At 43.4% G+C, this 21,549-nt stretch overlaps 1 protein-coding gene across 9 annotated transcripts in view, besides 2 other annotated features; it reads left to right on the top strand.

The window, feature by feature from the left end:
* GNE (glucosamine (UDP-N-acetyl)-2-epimerase/N-acetylmannosamine kinase) overlaps nt 1-21,549 on the top strand; it is a 62,538-nt gene that overhangs the window by 18,373 nt on the left and 22,616 nt on the right. For 3 of the 9 annotated variants that reach the window (NM_001374797.1, NM_001190383.3, NM_005476.7), the window contains exons 1-3: nt 158-285; nt 9,209-9,414; nt 12,124-12,575. In NM_001374797.1, the coding sequence (NP_001361726.1) occupies nt 9,251-9,414; nt 12,124-12,575 (616 nt within the window). In that variant the 5' untranslated portion in view covers nt 158-285; nt 9,209-9,250. Of the gene's footprint in view, nt 1-157; nt 286-1,686; nt 1,711-9,208; nt 9,415-12,123; nt 12,576-21,549 lie in introns of those variants that run through there. The other 6 variants (XM_005251334.5, NM_001128227.3, NM_001190384.3 and 3 more) reach the window with 4 other exon arrangements.
* Nucleotides 258-417: a silencer, noted in NCBI's record as "silent region_19891". NCBI's record gives its function as "represses an Ori minimal core promoter by ATAC-STARR-seq in GM12878 lymphoblastoid cells {active_cell/tissue: GM12878}" and the evidence as "EXISTENCE:reporter gene assay evidence [ECO:0000049][PMID:35858748]".
* Nucleotides 13,300-13,470: a silencer, noted in NCBI's record as "fragment chr9:36245133-36245303 (GRCh37/hg19 assembly coordinates)". NCBI's record gives its function as "represses an EF-1alpha promoter that drives an FKBP-Casp9 reporter gene in an ReSE screen in K562 erythroleukemia cells {active_cell/tissue: K562}" and the evidence as "EXISTENCE:reporter gene assay evidence [ECO:0000049][PMID:32094911]".

Below are 21,549 nucleotides of genomic sequence, written 5' to 3'. Positions count from 1 at the left end.
GCGCCTCAAAATACCGCCGGGAAGGTGGGGGACGGGGACGGGAGCAGCCAATCACGCGAGCTCTCTCGGGTGGCGTCAGGGCGCGATCGCGGATTCGGCACTCCGGGTGGGCGTGGCTGGGCGAGCGAGGAGTGGGGACAAGGTCGAGCGACGAGTCGTCTACCCGCGCGCCCGAGCGCGGAAACCGAGGGGCAGGCTCGCGCTCTGCCTGCTTCGTGGCGCTTGGTTCGTCCCTCGCCCGAGGAGCGCGGTGGCGGCGTGGGAGGGAGCCTCTGACGGCGTCTGGTGAGAGCCGCGCGGCGGCGTGGGACTCCGGGAGAGCATCCTGCCCACCCCCAGGGCCGCCTCCCCCGGCCTCCTGCCCCAGGCCTCCCCTCCCCGGCCGCTTTCCACCCCACCGCGCCCCGAGGCCCACACTGGACCCGGCTCTCGCCCAATGTCCTGCAGGCCTCACCATAGGGCACCTCTTTGGCCCAATTCAGGGCTCCGCCGTGTGGCTCGGGGTGGGCCCTGATGAGCAGGGGAGGGGATGTAGAGGGAGGCCCAGGTTGACTTGTCCCCTGGAACAGTGCTGTCCAATCAGGGGGGATGCTGACTGTCCCGTTAGGAGCGGGGCGGGGCGAGAGAGGGTGGAGAACTGCCTGGCAGGCGAGCTGTCCTGGCGTGAAAAGGCTGGGCTAAAAGGTCCCCTCCCTGCTCTGAGTCTACATTCTGAGTCTGGGCTTCCTTGTATATTTGAGAAACGTTAATTCCCCGCCCTCACCCCAATTTTTTTTTTTTTTTTTTTTTTTTTTTTTTTTTTTGAGACTGAGTCTCGCTCTGTCGCCCAGGCTGGAGTGCAGTGGCGCGATCTCGGCTCACTGCAAGCTCCGCCTCCCAGGTTCACGCCATTCTCCTGCCTCAGCCTCCCGAGTAGCTGGGACTACAGGCGCCCACCACCACGCCCGGCTAATTTTTTGTATTTTTAGTAGAGACGGGGTTTCACCATGTTAGCCAGGATGGTCTCGATCTCCTGACCTCGTGATCCGCCCACCTCGGCCTCCCAAAGTGCTGGGATTACAGGCGTGAGCCACCGCGCCCGGCCCCTCCCCCCAGTTTTACGCTTGTAAAATTGTTAGAACACAAGAACGTATTTTTTACTACTCTGGTAGGAGGGGTGGGGTACAGTTTCGCAGTATAGGTAACTCGTTAACCCAACTGTAGGAGCGCCGCAGTTGAAGCCAAACCGAATTATAGCGTCGGAATGGGGCCCTGACTTTCAGACAGCTTTATATAGCTCTTTCCTTCTTATTCCTTTGAGTCCCATCCTCATTGCACTGATGAAAGGGCGATTTATCATGTTTTCGAGGAAGATTTGTACTCATGGATGTTTATGGAATGAACAGACACAAGGCAAACACTGGGTGTGGGACAGTGTTCTGAGCGCTGAAGTCATTCAGACAAGGGTTTGATTTTCGGTTCTCTCAATGATGAACTTGGGTTCAAGTAATTCTCCTGCCTCAGCCTCCCAAGTAGCTGGGATTACAGGCGCCTGCCACCATGCTCGGTTAATTTTTGTATTTTTAGTAGAGACGGGGTTTCACCATGTTGGTCAGGCTGGACTTGAACAGACATCAAGTGATCCGCCCATCTCGGCTTCCCAAAGTGCTGGGGTTACAGGCGTCAGCCACCGCGCCTGGCCAATGATGAACTATTAAACAGTGATTTGGGGCAAGTAAATTATTTTCTCTGTGCTTCCTGTCTGTAAAACGCGGCTAATACGAGGGCTGTGAGGATGAAATGAGTTAATACATGTGAAGAAACCTATTAGCACAATGTTTGGCACTTCAGAAGCGCTCAGCAAATGTTTACTGTTGTTTCCTCTGTTCAGTGACTGCTTGACCCAAGTGTTCATTATTTTTATTTGATAGCCTTAAAAATATTCTCTTCACAAAGAACTCTTTCCACGGTTGAGTGGGGCATTATTTTTCTGGAAAGGGTTAATCACCTTTTGTCAGCATTTATAATGGACGGTCTTGAGTTGAGAGAATGCAGAAAGTAGTCTTTAAGAATTTGGGTTTCTGCCGGGCGTGGTGGCTCACGCTTGTAATCCCAGCACTTTGGGAGGCCAATGCAGGCGGATCACCTGAGGTCAGGAGTTCAAGACCAGCCTGGCCAACATGATGAAACCTCATCTCTACTAAAAATACAAAAATTAGCTCGATGTGGTGGCAGGCGCCTGTGATCCCAGCTACTCAGGAGGCTGAGATAGGAGTATCGCTTGAACCCAGGAAGCGGAGGTTGCAGTGAGCCGAGATTGCACCACTGCACTCCAGCCTGGGCGACAGGCTGTCTGTCTCAAAAAAAAAAAAAAAAAAAAAAAAAAAGAATTGGGTTTCTCTGGCTGGGTATGGTGGCTCATGCCTGTAATCCAAGCACTTTGGGAGGCCAGGCGGCGGATCACCTGAGGTCAGGAGATCGAGACCAGCCTGGCCAACATGGTGAAACCCCACCTCTACTAAAAATACAAAAAAATTAGCTGGGCATGGTGTCACATGCCTGTAATCCCAGCTACTTGGGAGGCTGAGGCAGGAGAATCGCTTCAACCTGGGAGGTGGAGGTTGCAGTGAGCTGAGATCATGTCACTGCACTCCAGCCTGGGCAACAGAGTGAGACCCTGTCTCAAAAACAAAAACAAACAAGAATTGGGTTTTTCAGCGATTGCCAGTGAGTTCAAGATGAAGGCAAACTTGTCCGAAAACTATCATCTATCTGTCTAACATCTATCATCCATCCATCTGTCACCTATTATTTGTTTTTCTGTCTTTCTTTTGGTGGCTCAGGTACAATTATAGAATTGAAGAGTGAAATGGATGCAAGTATTCAGTCCCACCTTCTGACTTTCTGAGCTCTGTGCTGGACAATGCACCTACTTCATAATGTTCATTTAAAAGATTGCTTGTTTTTATTTTTTTATTTAAATTTTAATTTTTTAAAGATAGGGTCTCACTCTGTCACCCAGGCTGGAGTGCAGTGGTCCTTTTCCAATTCGTACTATAGTTTCTTTCAGGGAAAAGAATTATATAGCTGGGGAACACATATGAGAAGACTTTTTGCTATTTAGCCTCTTGTGGCTTTTAATTTACATTTTTAATTTTTGTGAGGCAAGGCCAAGGCAGATGACTTGAGGTCAAGAGTTCGAGAACAGCCTGGTTTAGTTGAAACCGCGTCTCAACTAAAAAAATACAAAAATTAGCCAGGCATGGTGGCGTGCGCCTGTAATCCCAGCTACTTGGGAGGCTGAGGCAGGAGAATTGATTGAACCCGGGAGGTGGAGGTTACAGTGAGCTGAGGTCGCACCACTGCACTCCAGCCTGGGCAACAGAGTGACACTCCGTCTCAAGAAAAAAGAAAAATACTGTGAGGCAAAACAAATCATTCATGGTTTGTCAATTTATATTTATTTTACAAAGAACAGTAAATGTTCCATCTGGCAGTACTAAAATGCCTCGTACTTACCAGTTACTCAAAGGTTATTCTACCTAAACTGAGAGCAAGCTGGCCATATGAGTAAACTGAAAAATAGAACAATGTTACCTAAGGCCAGGTTTATAGACAAGCTTGCCTTCATCTTGAACTCACTGGCAATCTGAGAAACCCAATTATTTTTTTTTGAGATGGAATCTCACTCTTGTTGCCCAGGCTGGAGTGCAGTGGCAGGATCTCGGCTCACTGCAACCTCCGCCTCCCGGGTTCAAGTGATTCTCCTGCCTCAGCCTCCCCAGTAGCTGGGATTACAGGCGCCTGCCACCATGCCTGGCTAATTTTTGTATTTTTAGTAGAGATGGGGTTTTGCCATGTTAGCCAGGCAGGTCTTGAACTCCTGGCCTCAGGTGATCCGCCCGCCTCGTCCTCCCAAAGTGCTGGGATTACAGGCGTGAGCCACTGCGCCCGGCCGAAACTCAATTCTTGAAAGCAGCTTTTTGCATTCTCTCAACTCAAGACTGTCCATTGTAAGTACTGATGAAAAGTGATTGCCTCCTTACAAAAGGAAATTTACTTGCCCCAGGCTGGATTTAAATTTTAATTTTTTTAAAGATAGGGTCTTGCTCAGTCTTTCAGGCTGGAGTGCGGTGGCATGATCATAACTCACTACAGCCTCAAACTCCTGGGCTAAAGTGATCTTCCTGCCTCAGCCTCCCAAATAGCTAGGACCGCAGGTGTGCACAACCACACTCAGCTAATTAAAAAAAATTTGTTTGTAGAGACAGGAGTCTTGCTATGTTGCCCAGGCTGGTCTTGAACTCCTGACTTCAAGGAGTCCTTCTTGCCTCAGCCTCCCAAAGTGCTGGGATTACAGGCATGAGCCACCATGTCCAGCCAGATTTCTTGTTTTTATTTATTTATTTATTTATTTATTTTGAGACAAAGTCTCACTCTTTTGCCCAGGCTGGAGTGCAGTGGTGCGATCTCAGCTCACTGCAACCTCTGCCTCCTGGGTTCAAGCGATTCTTGTGCCTCAGCCTCCCAAGCAGCTGGGATTACAGGCACGCGCTACCATGCCTGGCTAATTTTTCTTTTTCTTTTTTTGAAATGGAGTCTCGATCAGTCTCCCAGGCTGGAATGCAATGGTGTAATCTCGGCTCACTGCAACCTCCGCCTCCCAGGTTCAAGCAACTCTCCTGCCACAGCCTCCTCAGTGCTGGGATTGCAGGTGCACGCCACCACACCCTGCTAAGTTTTGTATTTTTAGTAGAGATGGGGTTTCACCATGTTGGCCAGGCTGGTCTCCAACTCGTGACCTCAGGTGATCCGCCCACCTCAGCCTCCCAAAGTGCTGGGATTACAGGCATGAGCCACTGTGCCCAGCCAAAGTTGAATGTTTTTGCTAAATTTTAGGGCTCTTATAACTCTTTGTATATTTGAAAAGCTGATGGCCAGCAATTTCCAAAATTTTGCACTTTTAGATTTGATATTTCCAATATCTTTAAATGTTCTCATTCTACCATTTGAGTCATAATTAAAAGCATTTTAAAAAGTAAGATTTGTGGCTGGGCGCGGTGGCTCATGCCTGTAATCCTAGCACGTTGGGAGGCCGAGGTGGGTGGATCATGTGAGGTCAGGAGTTTGAGACTGGCCTGGACAACATGGTGAAACCCCGTCTCTGCTAAAAATACAAAAAAATTTGGTGGGTGTGGTGGCGGGCACCTGTAATCCCAGCTACTCAGGAGGCTGAGGCACAAGAATCTCTTGAACTGGGGAGGTGGAAGTTGCAGTGAGCCAAGGTCATGTCACTGCACTCTAGCCTGGGCAACAGAGGGAGACTGTATTTTAAAAAAAAAAAAAAGTAAGCTTTGCCCCAACAGTTTATAGAATATGTTACCAATTTTGTAATATACGTTGTGTATGTGTGTATGTATACACATACATACATCATATATATACACATCATATATATATATATTTAGATAGAGACTTATTCTGTTGCCCAGGTTGGAGTGCAGTGGCACCATCTTGGCTCACCGCAAGCTCCGCCTCATGTGTTCAAGTGATTCTCCTGCCTCAGCCTCCCAAGTAGCTGGGACTATAGGTGTGTGCCACAACACCTGGCTAATTTTTTTTGTATGTTTAGTAGAGATGGGGTTTCACCATGTTGGCCAGGCTGTTCTTGAATTCCTGACCTCTCGTGATCCACCCAGCTCGGCCTCCCAAAGTGTTGGGATTACAGGCGTGAGCCATATATTTATTTATATTATCATAGTTTATCCATGGAAGGACAGATAGGAAACCAGTAACTGCTTCCAGGGAAAAGAACTAGCTAGCTGGGGAACACAGATGAAAAGACTTATTGCTACTTAACCTCTTGTGACTTTTCAATTTTAAACCATGTGAATATACTACCTGATCAAAAATTTAGTTAATTAAAATTATTTTTTAAAACCTCCCCTTAAAAAGGCATTTTACCTTAATTTTATTTTTAAGATTTAACTTCTTTCCTTGAAAAAGCTTTGACTTTTTAAGGTTTTTTAGGTTTCTAGGTAACATTGTTGTATTTTTCACCATTTATTTATATGGCCAGCTTGCTCTCAGTTTAGGTAGAATAACCTTTGAGTAACCTGGTAAATAAGCATTTTAGTACTGCCAGATGGAACATTTACTGTTCTTTGTAAAATAAATACAAATTGACAAACCATGAATGATTTGTTTTGCCTCAGCAAATTAAATATTACCAACAATTTTTTCAGCTCAAATTTGATCACTGGAAGAAGGATTATATACAAGAACACTTACGACAACCATTTTTGGAAGAATATTTTTGTCTCTTTAAAGATTAGATAGTGCGGCCACGTGCGGTGGCTCATGCCTGTAATCCCAGCACTTTGGGAGGCCGAGGCGGGTGGATCATGAGGTCAGGAGTTCGAGACCAGTCTGGCTAGCATGGTGAAACCCCATGTCTACTAAAAATAGAAAAAATTAGCCCAGCATGGTGGCACATGCATGTAATCCCAGCTACTCGGGAGGCTGAGGCAGGAGAATTGCTTGAACCCAGGAGGCGGAGGTCGCAGTGAGCCGAGATTGCACCACTGCACTCCAGCCTGGGTGGCAGAGCAAGACTCTGTCTCAAAAAAAAAAAAAAAAAGATCAGATAGTGCTTGGGTCTTCTGAATATAACTCTCTTGGTGGAATGCCCGTTTCGTTATATTGTAAGTGTTTGCCATTGGGTGAAATTAGCTTTTACTGGGGATTATAAATTCAGAGTGGACCTAATGATGGGACCGTTTGCATGGTCACAGAATTTTAGCCTAAGAGAGTGTTGAGGTACCAACAGCAGAGGGCTACTGATGGAATTTCCAGTGAATTTCAGAGTTTACCCTCATCTAAAGGATGGCACCCCTAGAATTGGAATCCTTACTGAAGTGTCTCTGGATTCCTGATTACAAGTTCTAAATATTGATACACTTACTGAAACATGAACATTGAGATCAGAGTCCATGAGGTGAAATTTTATGTTGATTTAGAGAAGTTTAACATGTTCCAAGTCTGGCTCAGTGGTGTATGCCTGTAGTTCCAGCTACTTAGGAGGCTGAGGTGGGGGGGTTGCTTGAGCCCAGGAGTTCCAGGCTGCAATGAGCTATGATCGTGCTTGTGAATAGCTACTGCACTCTAGCTTGGGCAACATAGCAAGATCCCATCTCCAAAAATGTAAAAACTTTTTAAAAAATTCCATAAAACAAATCTCTTATTCCTTGCCCCTGATTTTACTTTTTGAATGGAGGGTATAGCATGGCAGGGAGGGATGAGCGAGCAGTGGAGCTGAGCAACAGTATATCTGTGAATGGGAGGGCCATAACGCTCAGAGCGAGGCAGCAACTGAGAAACGTGGGGGAGGAGGACCTGAGGTTTGTGTGAAGCCTTTCCAGAAAGGATGACACTTAGATGGAGTTTTGAAGGATGAGTAGAAGACCAGCAAGGAGGAAAGGAAGTTTTAGGAAAAAGTAGGTGGCATCTATAAAGGTATAGATATACGGAGATTCACTAGTTGAACTGGAGGCAGTTTGGTATGGCTGGCACTTTGGCACAGAGAAGGGTAATTTTAGGCAGGGAAGAGATGGTGGAAAGGAAGATCACTTTGAAAGTTTGTAGGAGGCCGGGCGCAATGGCTCTTGCCTGTAATCCCAGCACTTTGGGAGGCCGAGGTGGGTGGATCACTTGAGGCCAGGAGTTCAAGACCAGCCTGGCCAACATGGCAAAACCCCATCTCTACTAAAAATACAAAAATTAGCTGGGCATGGTGGTGGGCACCTATAATCCCAGCTACTCGGGAGGCTGAGGCAGGAGAATTGCTTGAATCTGGGAGGCGGAGGTAGTAGTGAGCCAAGCTCGTGCCACTGCACTCCAACCTGGGCGACAGAGTGAGACTTTGTCTCTAAATAAATAAGTAAGAAAGTTTATAGGAGACAGGCAAACCACTTGACAGCTGTTAAGATCGTCCAGACCTAAAATGAGGGACTGGACTAGGGGAAGTCCTTGTATGGATGAAGAGGAGGAGATAGATTTGAAAGATATTTAGGGGGTGGAATTGACAGCATTTTGGAGATATGGGGTGAAGAACAGAAAAGACAAGGATTTGAAGGCATTTGGATGAATGAAATTGCATAACTCAGAGAACAATTGAGGAGGAACAGCTTCCGAAAAGAAAATGAGTTCAGTTTGGGACACTGACTTTAAGGTGTTTATAGGACATACAGCAGGAGATATCTGATAGGCATTTGGAGTTGTCAGTTTTGTTGGCACTGGTGTGTAGGTACTAATGAGGGCTTGAAGGTCAGGTTTTTATCTTACTCATCTTTCTCCTGCCCAGCATTAATCACAATACCTTGTATTTAGGAAGTGTATAGTGTGAGAGTGAATAGCCTGTGTTCCTTATGAGACATGATCTGGAATGTTGGGGCAGTAATTTTCCCTCTCAAGACCTGTGTTTCCCTTTCTATAAAGTGATGGAGTTGAACTAGATCAGTGGTTCTCAACAACTGATTTTGCAACAACCTACTATGTTGGGCTCATCTGTGAGTTATGGCAAGTAATTTTTAATAATAAAGAGCTGATATTTCCTCACCTTTTAAACAAGAGCTGATTTATATCACTCCTTCTTAATGGCATTCCAGTGTGTTTTCTTGAGTGTGAGAGGATGGGGTGGTGTTACAGTTAGTTTGCTGGAGTTTCTTCTTCTTTTTTTTTTTTTGAGATGGAGTCTCGCTCTGTCACCCAGGCTGGAGTGTGGTGGTGCGATCTCAGCTCACTGCAAGCTCCGCCTCCTGGGTTCACGCCATTCTTCTGCCTCAACCTCCCGAGTAGCTGGGACTACAGGTACCCGCCACCACGCCCAGCTAATTTTTTTTTTTGTATTTTTTAGTAGAGACGGGGTTTCACCACGTTAGCCAGGATGGTCTTGATCTCCTGACCTCGTGATCTGCCCACCTCGGCCTCCCAAAGTGCTGGGATTACAGGCGTAAGCCACCACTCCCAGCCTTGGAGTTTCTTAACTCTGGATATACCAATGGGAGAGTCACACATAAGTGGAGGTGCAAAAAAAGATTAAGAATCACTGTACTAAATAGTGGTTAAGGACTTGAAACTGAAAATTTCTATTTCTGATTTAGAGAAGTTTAAAGTTTAGTTATATCTAGGAGTTATTCTGATTATAAAGTTTTTATTTTGGCAATTTCAGGAACTCTATTTTAAGAACCTCTCAAAACGAAACAAGCAAATCATGGAGAAGAATGGAAATAACCGAAAGCTGCGGGTTTGTGTTGCTACTTGTAACCGTGCAGATTATTCTAAACTTGCCCCGATCATGTTTGGCATTAAAACCGAACCTGAGTTCTTTGAACTTGATGTTGTGGTACTTGGCTCTCACCTGATAGATGACTATGGGTAAGATGAAAGCATTTTCTTATTCTTCATTGCAACAGTGTGCTAGAAGGAGCTTGGGTTTTGTAGCCATATGGGCCCAGCTTCAAATTCCTGTTCTGCTGCTTAGTTTTTATGTGGCCTTAGAGTAGTCACTTAGCATCTCTGAGCCTCAGTTTCCTCATTATATAATGTAGTGAAAACTTATATTGTAAATTATTGTGAGGAATGGAGATCATGATATAGAGCATCCATCACAATGATGCCGCTTAGTAGATGATTGATAAATGGTAGCTATAAATAATATTACTGTTTGTTATTAGTTGTTACATTCAAACAAATGCCACTTATAAATACATATTGTATGAGTATAATAATGTGATTCCATGTAAACTGTTTTGTGAGCTGTAATGGCAATCTTTAAAACTGGTTTATAGGCCAACAGCATATAAAGTAGTAGATATGGAACAAGATTTTAAAAATCTAATCTGCAAGGTAAAGTAGAGAGTTACATTACTGTCACCATTGACATTTATTTTGCTGACATTAGGTTTGTTATTAATCACAGGCTACATTTAAAAAGTGAAAGTTGGGCCGGGCACGGTGGCACATGCCTATAATCCCAGCACTCTGGGGGGCTGAGGTGGGTGGATCACCTGAGGTCAGGAATTTGAGACCAGCCTGGCCAACATGGTGAAACCCTATCTCTACGAAAAATACAAAAAAAAAAAAAATTAGCCAGTTGTGGTGGCGCATGCCCGTAGTCCTAGCTACTCGGGAGGCTGAGGCAGGAGAATCACTTGAACCCGGGAGGCGGAGGTTGCAATGAGCTGAGATCACACCACTGCACTCCAGCCTGGGCAACAAGAGTGAGACTCCGTCTCAAAAAAAAAAAAAGCAAAGGTTGAATAATCTGAGAGAACAAGGCGTATTACATACATCTTGATGTATGTAATAAAAAGTCATTTAGTGCACCCTTGTGGCATGAATATATTAATGCAGTCTCCAAAGAGGATCACAAATACAATACTGTATCTGAAAGAACCTTGCGTTAAAATAAAATTGTCCTTTTCAGACTATTCTTTAAAAACAAGGTGGGAATTCGCTACTAGGAAATACTTAAAGAGTAGAGAAGAAACTTAATGGATAGCTCAGGGATCCACAGATTTTTTTTTTTTTTTTTTTTTTTGAGACGGAGTTTTGCTCTTGTTGCCCAGGCTGGAGTGCAGTGGCGTGATCTCGGCTCACTGCAACTTCCACCTCCCGGGTTCAAGTGATTCTCCTGCCTTAGCCTTCCGAGTAGCTGGGATTACAGGCATGCGCCACCATGCCCGGCTAATTTTGTATTTTTAGTAGAGACGGGGTTTCTCCATGTTGGTCAGGCTGGTCTCAAACTCCCAACCTCAGGTGATCCACCTGCCTCCGCCTCCCAAAGTGCTGGGATTACAGGTGTGAGCCACTGCGTCCGTCCAGATTTTTTTTTAATATAAAATGAATTCTGGCTATTTAGGAGCATCCTCTCAGTAGAACAGAAATTTTAGCTAGAGCCTGAGATGAAAGTTTGAGTGGGTTCTTTTACTGCTCTGAGAAAGCTTTGACAGGAAGACTAGTGGAAGAGAGGCTCTCAGGGAAATGGTAGTAGGTTTTTTATCTGCCTACCACAGTTACCAAGGGTGGAAGAATAGTGTTTATCTGATGAGACCGTTAAATAGGAAATTTGACTAGTACTTAATGAAAATGCATGTTTAAGGTACATTCTAACACAAGAAATTGGTTGCTTCTTGGGAGAAGAATTGGATGACTGGGAGACAAAAGTGAGAGACTTTTCACCATGAAATGTTTTCTTAAAGAAAAAAGGTTTGGCCAGGCACGGTGGCTCACACCTGTAATCCCAGCACTTTGGGAGGACGAGGCGGGCGGATCACGAGGTCAAGAGATTGAGACCATCCTGGCCAACATGGTGAAACCCTGTCTCTACTAAAAATACAAAAATTAGCTGGGCGTGATGGCACACGCCTGTAGTCCCAGCTACTCGGGAGGCTGAGGCAGGAGAATCGCTTGAACCTGGGAGGTGGAGGTTGCAGTGAGTCAAGATCGCACCACTGCACCCCAGCCTGGGCGACAGAGCGAGACTCTGTCTCAAAAAAATAAAAAAAAGGGTAAAAAACATTTTCCCCTAAGTGTATATAAAAAGTGCTGACCACTGTTAAAAGTTTAGTCTCTTTCTTCCTAATAAAAAAATTCTCTGGCCGGGTGCAGTCGCTCACGCGTGTAATCCCAGCACTTTGGTAGGTCAAGGTGGGTGGATCACCTGAGGTCAGGAGTTCAAGACCAGCCTGGCCAACATGGCAAAACCCCATCTGTACTAAAAATAGAAAAATTAGCTGGGTGTGGTGGTACATGCCTGTAATCCCAGCTACGCAGGAGGCTGAGGCAGGAGAATCGCTTGAACCCGGGAGGCAGAAGTTGCAGTGAGCCTAGATCGCGCTACTGCACTCCAGCCTGGGCAACAGAGCAAGACTTCATCTCAAAAAAAAAAAAAAAAAAAAAAAAAAGAATCTTAATCAGGCTGTTTACACTTATGGTCTATGCTTTTTATGTTTGTAAGTTATACTTCAATTTATTTATTTTAATGTTTCTCACTTCAGAGTTGGTGTTAGATTGCTTTTCTTGCATGTTACGGCTCTGTGTTTAAGAACATGTTCTTATATCTTTATTTCTCCCCGGCTTTAGAAATACATATCGAATGATTGAACAAGATGACTTTGACATTAACACCAGGCTACACACAATTGTGAGGGGAGAAGATGAGGCAGCCATGGTGGAGTCAGTAGGCCTGGCCCTAGTGAAGCTGCCAGATGTCCTTAATCGCCTGAAGCCTGATATCATGATTGTTCATGGAGACAGGTTTGATGCCCTGGCTCTGGCCACATCTGCTGCCTTGATGAACATCCGAATCCTTCACATTGAAGGTGGGGAAGTCAGTGGGACCATTGATGACTCTATCAGACATGCCATAACAAAACTGGCTCATTATCATGTGTGCTGCACCCGCAGTGCAGAGCAGCACCTGATATCCATGTGTGAGGACCATGATCGCATCCTTTTGGCAGGCTGCCCTTCCTATGACAAACTTCTCTCAGCCAAGAACAAAGACTACATGAGCATCATTCGCATGTGGCTAGGTACGTATCTCAGACTTTAGTCAGTCTAATGGCTGTTTTTGTCAGAAAATGTTCCGTCTATTTCAATCCTTTTGGAAACTATTATGGATAGAATACTCTGTTAGCAATGAGAAGGCCAAGGTTTTAGTTCATAGACCTTGCCCTGTGGTATGACTTTACCTCTCTGAGGTTTACCTTTTCTGTAAAATAGGCTTAGTGGATTGAGTTTTAAAAATCTCTGCTATATTTATAGAATGGAATGCTTTTAATCCATTAAATATATTAGTTATAAGAACGATCCTAATATGTCAAAAGGGGGAGCTATAAAATTATAAGTGTAATATGCCATTTCATTTTATTTTATTTATTTTATTTTTTGAGATGGAGTCTTGCTCTGTTGCCTAGGCTGGAGTGCAGTGGTGTGATCTTGGCTCACTGCATCCTCTGCCTCCCAGGTTCAAGTGATGCTCCTGCCTCAGCCTCCCAAGTATGTGGGATTGCAAGCGTGGACCACCATGACCGGCTAATTTTTCTATTTTTAATTTCACCACGTTGGCCAGGCTGGTCTCGAACTCCTGACCTCAAGTGATCCGCCCACCTTGGGCTCCCAAAGTGCTGGGATTACAGGTGTGAGCCACTGCACCCAGCTGTAATCTGCCATTTTACTAAAAACTGTAATAATGGAATGGTTAGGAAGTATGTACACCAAGTCATTTATTATATTTATTTCTGGTGTGGGATTATGGGTGTTTTTATGTTTGATTTTCTGAATTTTTTTTTTGTTTTTTGAGACAGAGTCTTGCTCTGTCATCCAGGTTGGAGTGCAGTGGCACAATCTCGGCTCACTGCAACCTCCACCTCCCAGGTTCAAGCGATTCTCCTGCCTCAACCTCCCGAGTGGCTGGGATTACTATGCCTGGCTAATTTCATATTTTTAGTAAAGACAGGGTTTTTCCATGTTGGCCAGGCTGGTCTCGAACTCCTGACCTCAGGTGATCCGCCCACCTCAGCCTCCCAAAGTGCTGGGATTACAAGCGTGAGCCACCGTGCCTGGCCTGATTTTCTGAAATTTTTTACTACATTGGCAAAATGGTCATTTTTTTTTTTTTTTTGAGATGGAGTCTTACTCTGTTGCCTAGCCTGTAGTGCAGTGGCTCAGTCTCGGCTCACTGCAACCTCCACTTCCCGGGTTCAAGCGATTCTCCTGCCTCAGCCTCCTGAGTAGCTGGGGTTACAGGCGCACACCACCACACCTGGCTAATTTTTTTTTGTATTTTTAGTAGAGACGGGGTTTCACTATGTTGGTCAGGCTGGTCTCAAACTCCTGACCTCATAATCCGCCCACCTCGGCCTCCCAAAGTGCTGAGATTACAGGCATGAGCCACCGCGCCTGGCTCATTTTTATTTTTAATGCTTTTCTTATAGAATTGTTGGAATACTCAGATTATGAATGTTGGAAGCAGTAAGCCATAAGTACTTATTAATATAAGGGATTATGATGATTATTAAAAAGCAAAAGTCATAGTTGTAGCCTTAGAGTATATCTTTGTAAATAAGCCCTATGTTCCAAAATTTTTATTGTTCAGTGCTCTAGCTTCCTAGAAATTATCTTTTGCTAATCAGAGGTAAAAAAATCCAAGTTTACAAACAGAATGTCAGTTGGTTAATTTATAGTAAGAGTACTACCTAGGGGACAAATTAGGACTAATAATCTATTTAGGACCTTTCATTTCTAAGAGGCAGATCTATTGAATTATAAAATTAATGAACAGAAAATTGATTTGGTTGGGTCAGGTATGGTGGCTCACCCTGTAATCCCAGCACTTTGGGAGGCTGAAGTGGGAGTATTGCTTGAGCCTAGGAGTTACAAGGCCAGCCTGGGCAACATAGCAAGACGCTGTCTCTACAAAAAATAAGAAAATTAGCTGGGCGTGGTGCTGTGTGCATGTAGTCCTAGTTACCTGGGAGGCTGGGATGGGAGGGTCACTTGAGCCTGAGTAGTTGAGGCTACAGTGATCTGTGATTACACTGCTGCACTCTAGCCTGGGTGACAGAGTAAGACCCTGTCTCAAACAAAACAAAACAAAAAAAAACAAAAAACAATAACAAAAAAAAAACACAGAAAGAAAAAGAAAATTGAATAAGCAAAGAGATTTTGTATATTTTTAATCTAGATTACATTACATCAGGAAAGGAATTGGGCTTTCCTGCTATATAACGTACTCCATTCTACATATTTCTGTTGTTCAGTCTGGAGTGCAGTGGTGCAGTCTTGTCCTCCTGGGCTCAAGTGATCCTACCACCTCAGCCTCCTGAGTAGCTGGGACTACAGGCATGTACCACCATGCCCAGCTAATTTTTAAAATTTTTTTGTAGAGATGGGGTCTCACTATTTTGCCCAGGCTAGTCATGAATTCCTAGGCTCAAGCAATCCTCCTGCCTCGGCCTCCCAAACTGCTGGGTTTATAGGCATGAGCCACCGCACCTGGCCCATTCTAAATATTTCTTATGCTTGGACAGATTTGTAATTATCAAGGGATCGTCTAGATAATGCTGGTGGAACAACCTTCTGTCTCTTCAGTCTCTCCTTTTAGTATGCTTCCGATGAAACACTCTTGGATTCTGTTCTAATTATACCATTAGCTCTCTAGGTATTCTGGAAAACTTGTATCACTGAAAAACTTGTAATGAATAGAAAATAATAATGTGCCAGATGTGGTGGCACATGCCTGTAATCTCTGTACTTTGAGAGGCCAAAGTGGGCAGATCACTTGAGCCTAGGGGTTTGAGAACAGCCTGGGCAACGTGGTGAAACTCTGTCTTTACAAAAAATACAAAAATCAGCCGGGTGTGATGGTGTGTGCCTGTAGTCCCAGCTACTCCGGAGGCTGAAGTGGGAGGATTGCTTGAGTCTGGGAGTTCAAGACTGAAGTGAGCCATGATTGTGCCACTGCACTCCAGCCTCGGTGACAGAATAAGACCCTGTCTCAAAAAAACAAAACACTAGTTTTGGCCAGGTGCCAGTGGCTCATGCCTGTGACCCTAGCACTTTGGGAGGCCCAGGCAGGTGGATCACTTGAGGTCAGGAGTTGGAGACCAGCCTGGCCAACATGGTGAAACCCCATTTCTAGTAAAAATACAAAAATTAGCCAGGTGTGCTGGCACATGCCTGTACTCCCAGCTACTCAGGAGGCTGAGGCAGGAGAATTGCTTGAACCCAGGGAGGTTGCTGTGAGCCGAGATTGCACCACTGCACTCCACACTCCAGCCTGGGTGAAGAAGCGAGACTCCATCTCAAAAAAAAAAAAAAAAAAAAAAACAAGCATAAAACCCAGGCCAGATGCGGTGGCTCACACCTGTAATCCCAGCACTTTGGGAGGCCACGGCGGGCAGATCATGAGGTCAAGAGATTGAGACCATCCTGGCCAACATGGTGAAACCCCATCTCTACTAAAAATACAAAAATTAGCTGAGCATGGTGGCGCACACCTGTAGTCCCAGGTACTTGGGAGGCTGAGGCAGAAGAATTGCATGAAACCCAGGAGGCGGAGGCTGCAGTGAGCCGAGATCGCGCCACTGCACTCCAATCTGGCAACAGAGCGAGACTCCGTCTCAAAACAAAAAACAGCAAATAACCATTAGAAAGCAGAATGTAGCAAAATTGAATTGTACTTGTAGGGCTTAAAGTCCTATTTGGGACAATTTAAGCAGTTCTTTATGGAAAGAAGGACAACAGAACAGCTAAAATTGCTTTTTTTTTTTTTGGTCTTTAAACCAGTGAAAAAGAAAACTCAAGACAATGAGGCAGAGCCATCCACCACTGGGCAGTAATACATTTTATATAAAACCTGTTCCTGCTTCTTGATATGCAACTTCTTTTTTTTTTTCTTTTTTTTGAGACAGAGTCTTGCTCTGTTGCCAAGGCTGGAGTTCTGTCACCTAGGCTGGAGTGCATTAGCGCAGTCTCGACTCACTGCAACCTCTGCCTCCCAGGTTTAAGCAATACTCCTGCCTCAGCCTCCTGAGTAGCTGGGACTACAGGCGCACACCACCACACCTGGCTAATTTTTGTATTTTTAGTAGAGATGGGGCTTCATCATGTTCGCCAAGTTCGTCTCGAACTCCTGACCTCAGGTGATCCGCCCTCCTCAGCCCTCCAAACTGCTGGGATTATAGGCATGAGCTACCGCACCTGGCCTTAATATGGAACTTCTCATGCTATCACTCTGCTTACAGGAAGATAGGGTTGGGTAGGCCATATATAACATTGCAGCTTTGTAACCAGAGTGTTAATATATAACAATCTTAATTTTAAAATTAGCAATGTTAAAAAGGCATGTTAAATTCCTAATAATGAAAGGCATATCACAGTAAATATAGGACTTTACAACAGAAAACAAAATGCCTTTATGGAAAGGATTTATGAAAGGGCTGAGGCTGCTGAATTATGGATAGATACAAAGACTGGTAATAATATCAGAAGTGCCAGGTGGAGAAGCAGGTGCAAACTTTGTATGAAATGTATTCTTGCCAGGGATGAGTTGCTCTGGCTCATTGTCTTGCGTTTTACTTTTCCCTGGTCTAAAAAGACTTCTAGTTTTTGCTACTTTGCCATCCTTCTTTCATAAAGAAACTGTTGCTGGGCACAGTGGCTCGCGCCTGTAATCCCAGCACTTTGGGAGGCCGAGGCGGGCAGATCACAAGGTCAGGAGATAGAGACCATCCTGGCCAACATGGTGAAACCCCATCTCTACTAAAAAATACAAAGATTAGCTAGGCGTAGTGGCATAGGCCTGTAGTCCCAGCTACTCAGGAGGCTGAGGCAGGAGAATTGCTTGAACCCACAAGGTGGAGGTTGTAGTGAGCCAAGATCGTGCCACTGCACTCCAACCTGGGCGACAGAGTGAGACTCTGTCTTAAAAAAAAAAAAAAGTAAATGAAACAAAAAGCTGGTTCTTTGAAAAGATAAATAAAACTGTTAGACCATTGGCAAGATTAACCAAGAAAAGAAGGGAGAAAATCCAAATAACCTCACTAAGAAATGAAACAGGAGATATTACAACTGACACTACTGAAATACAAAAGATCATTCAAGGCTACTATGAACACCTTGACACACATAAACTAGAAAACCTAGAAGAGATGGACAAATTCCTGGAAAAATACAACCCTACTAGCTTAAATCAGGAAGAATTACATACCCTGAACAGGTCAATAACAAGCAGCAAGATGGAAATGGTAATTTAAAAATTACCAACAAAAAAAATTCCATGACCAGATGGATTCACAGCAGAATTCTACCAGACATTCAAAGAAGAATTGGTACCAATCCTTTTGACACTATTCTACAAGATAGAGGAAGAAGGAACCCTCCCTAATTTATTCTGTGAAGCCCCCATGACCCTAATACCAAAACCAGGAAAGGACATAACAAAAAAAACAACAGGCCAATATCCTTGATGAACATAGATGCTAAAATCCTTAACAAAATACTAGCTAATCAAATCCAACAACATATCAAAAAGATAATCCTCCATGATCAAGTGGGTTTCATACCAGGGATGCAGGGATGGTTTAATGTATACAAGTCAGTAAATGTGATGGACCACATAAACAGAATTAAAAATCACATGATCATTTCAGTAGATGCAGAAAAAGCATTAAACAAAATCCAGCATCCCTTTATGATTAAAACTCTCAGCAAAATCAGCATACAAGGGACATACCTTAATGTAATAAAAGCCATCTATGACAAACCCACAGCTAATGTAATACTGAATGGGGAAAAGTTGAAAGCATTCCCTCTGAGAATTGGAACAAGACAAGGATGCCCACTCTCACCACTCCTCTTCAACATGGTACTGGAAGTCTTAGCCAGAGCAATCAGACAAGAGAAGAAAAGGGCATCCAAATCAGTAAAGAGGAAGTCAAACCGTCACTCTTTGCTGACAATATGATTATTTACCTTGAAAATCCTAAGGACACCTCCAGAAAGCTCCTAGAACTTATAAAAGAATTCAGCAAAGTTTCTGGATACAAGATTAATGTACACAAATCAGTAGCTCTTCTATACACCAACAGCGACCAAGCGGAGAATCAAACCAAGAACTCAACCCCTATTACAACAGCTGCAAAATTAAATTAAAATAAAATAAAATAAGTAAAATAAAATAATAAAATGAAATATAAAATAAAATAAAATACTTAGGAATATACCTAACCAAGGAGTCAAAAGACCTCTACAAGGGATATTACAAAACACTGCTGAAAGAAATCATAGGCTGGGTGCAGTGGCTCACACCTGTAATCCCAGCAATTTGGGAGGCCAAGGCGGGCAGATCATTTGAGTTCAGGAGTTTGAGACTAGCCTGGCCAACATGGTGAAACCCTGACTCTACTAAAAATACAAAAATTAGCTGGGCATGGTGATGTGCACCTGTAGTCCCAGATACTTGGGAGGCCGAGGCAGGAGAATCGCTTGAACCTGGGAGGCGGAAGTTGCAGTGAGCCGAGATCGCACCATTGCACTGCAGCCTGAGCAACAAGAGTGAGACTACATCAAAAAGAAAAAAAAAAGAGAGAAAAAGAAAGAAAGATAGAAAGAAAGAAATCATAGACAACATGAACAAATGGAAACACATCCCATGCTCATGGATGGGTAGAGCTGATACTGCGAAACACATCCCATACTCATGGATGGGTAGAGTTGATATTGCGAGAATGACCATACTGCCAAAAGCAATCTACAGATTCAATGCAATCCCCATCAAAATACCACCATTATTCTTCACAGAATTAAAAAAATAATTCTAAAATTCATGTGGAACCAAAAAAGAGCCCATATAGCCAAAGCAAGAGTAAGCAAAAAGAACAAATCTGGAGGCATCACACTACCTGATTTCAAACTATACTATAAGGCCATAGTCACCAAAACAGCATGTTACTGGTACAAAAATAGGCATATAGACCAATGGAACAGAATAGAGAACCCAGAAATAAACCCAAATACTTACAGCCAACTGATCTTCGACAAATCAAACAAAAATATAAAGTGGGGAATGGACACCTTTTTCAACAAATGGTGCTGGGATAATTCGCTGGCCACATGTAGGAGAATGAAACTGGATCCTCATCTCTCACCTTATACAAAAATCAACTCAAGATGGATTAAGGACTTTAAGATCTGAAACTATAAAAATTCTAGAAGATTACATGGGAAAACCCCTTCTAGACATTGGCTTAGGCAAGGATTTCATGACCAAGAACCCAAAAGCAAATACGATAAAACAAAGATAAATAGCCTGGACCTAATTAAACTAAAGAGCTTTTGCACAGCAAAAGGAATAGCAGAGTAAACAGACAACCACAGAGTGGGAGAAAATCTTCACAATCTATACATCTGACAAAAGACTAATATCCAGAATCTACAATGAACTCAAACAAATCAGTAAGAAAAAGTCCCATAAAAAAGTGGGCTAAGGACATGAATAGACAATTCTCAAAAGAAAATATACAAATGGCCAACAAACATATGAAAAAATGCTGAACATCACTAATGATCAGGGAAATGCAAATCAAAACCATAATGCGATGCCGCCTTACTCCTGTAAGAATGGCCATAATCAAAAAATCAAAAAACAGTAGATGCTGGCGTGGATGTGGTGATCAGGAACACTTCTACACTGCTGGTGTGAATGTAAACTAGTACAGCCGCTATGGAAAACTACCATTTGATCCAGCAATTCCACTACTGGGTATCTACCCAGAGGAAAAGAAGTCATTATTTGAAAAAGATACTTGCACACGCATGTTTATAGCAGCACAATTCACAATTGCAAAGTCATGGAACCAACCAAATGCCCATTAATCAATGATTGGATAAAGAAACGGTGGTGTGTATATATATGTGTGTGTGTGTGTGTGTGTGTATCTATATATATCTATTTATATCTACATCTATATATCTATGTGTGTGTGTGTATCTATATATATCTACATCTATATATCTACATCTATATCTGTATCTATGATGGAATACTATGCAGCCATAAAAAGGAATGAATTAACAGCATTTGCAGTGACCTAGATGAGACTGGACACTATTATTCTAAGTGAAGTAACTCAGGAATGGAAAACCAAACATTGTATGCTCTCACTGATATGTGGAAGCTAAGCTATGAGGATGCAAAGGCCTAAGAATGATACAGTGGACTTTGGGGACTTGGGGGGAAGAGTAGGAGGGGGCGAGGGATAGAAGACTACAAATATGGTACAGAGTATACTGCTCAGGTGATGGGTGCACCAAAATCTCACAAATCACCACCAAAGAACTAACTCATGTAACCAAATACCACCTAATACCCCAATAACTTATGGAAAAATAAATAAACTTAATTAAAAAAAAAAGTAAGTGGAGCTCACTTTCAGTTTTATGGGATAATATAGGCCCTATTGGTAAATACCTTGCGTTGTTTGACATAGCACTGTCAATCTAAACTTTTTACCTTTTAAATTTTTGCTGAGGAACCGTCCTTGGGATCCCAGCCTAGGGATGAGCGAAACTCTCCTAGTCCTTTAACAGAGTTAGAAACACTTGCCACTTGTTGAATCTGGTAGGTGATAGTACAGGAAAGCTCCTGTGCATTCTAGGAAATATGTTTAATGCTTGTTCAGCCTCAAAATGCCCTGATATGCAACATATTATTATTCATTGATATTGCTGAATATTCACTAAAAACATTAGTTAGAAATTGGGAAGAGTCACATTTTTTGAGTGCTTTGGAATAGTTTGGGTTTTAAAACAGTGAATTTCTAGTGCCTGCTATTTAAAGTTATGTTTGTGGCAGCATGTCTTTGTAAAATGTTAAGTTTGCTGAATACTTGGATTTGTTGCTGTAAATTCTTATCATTTGACTCTAATTTGGATGCCCTGTTCACAATTTGACAAACTGTTTCTATCGTAGAATTTTTAAAAGCACAGACTTAGAGTCTTGCT

Source organism: Homo sapiens, chromosome 9 (genome assembly GCF_000001405.40).
Source record: "Homo sapiens chromosome 9, GRCh38.p14 Primary Assembly".
Classification (NCBI taxonomy): Eukaryota; Metazoa; Chordata; class Mammalia; order Primates; family Hominidae; genus Homo; species Homo sapiens.
This window is presented reverse-complemented; position numbering and strand designations above follow the sequence as displayed.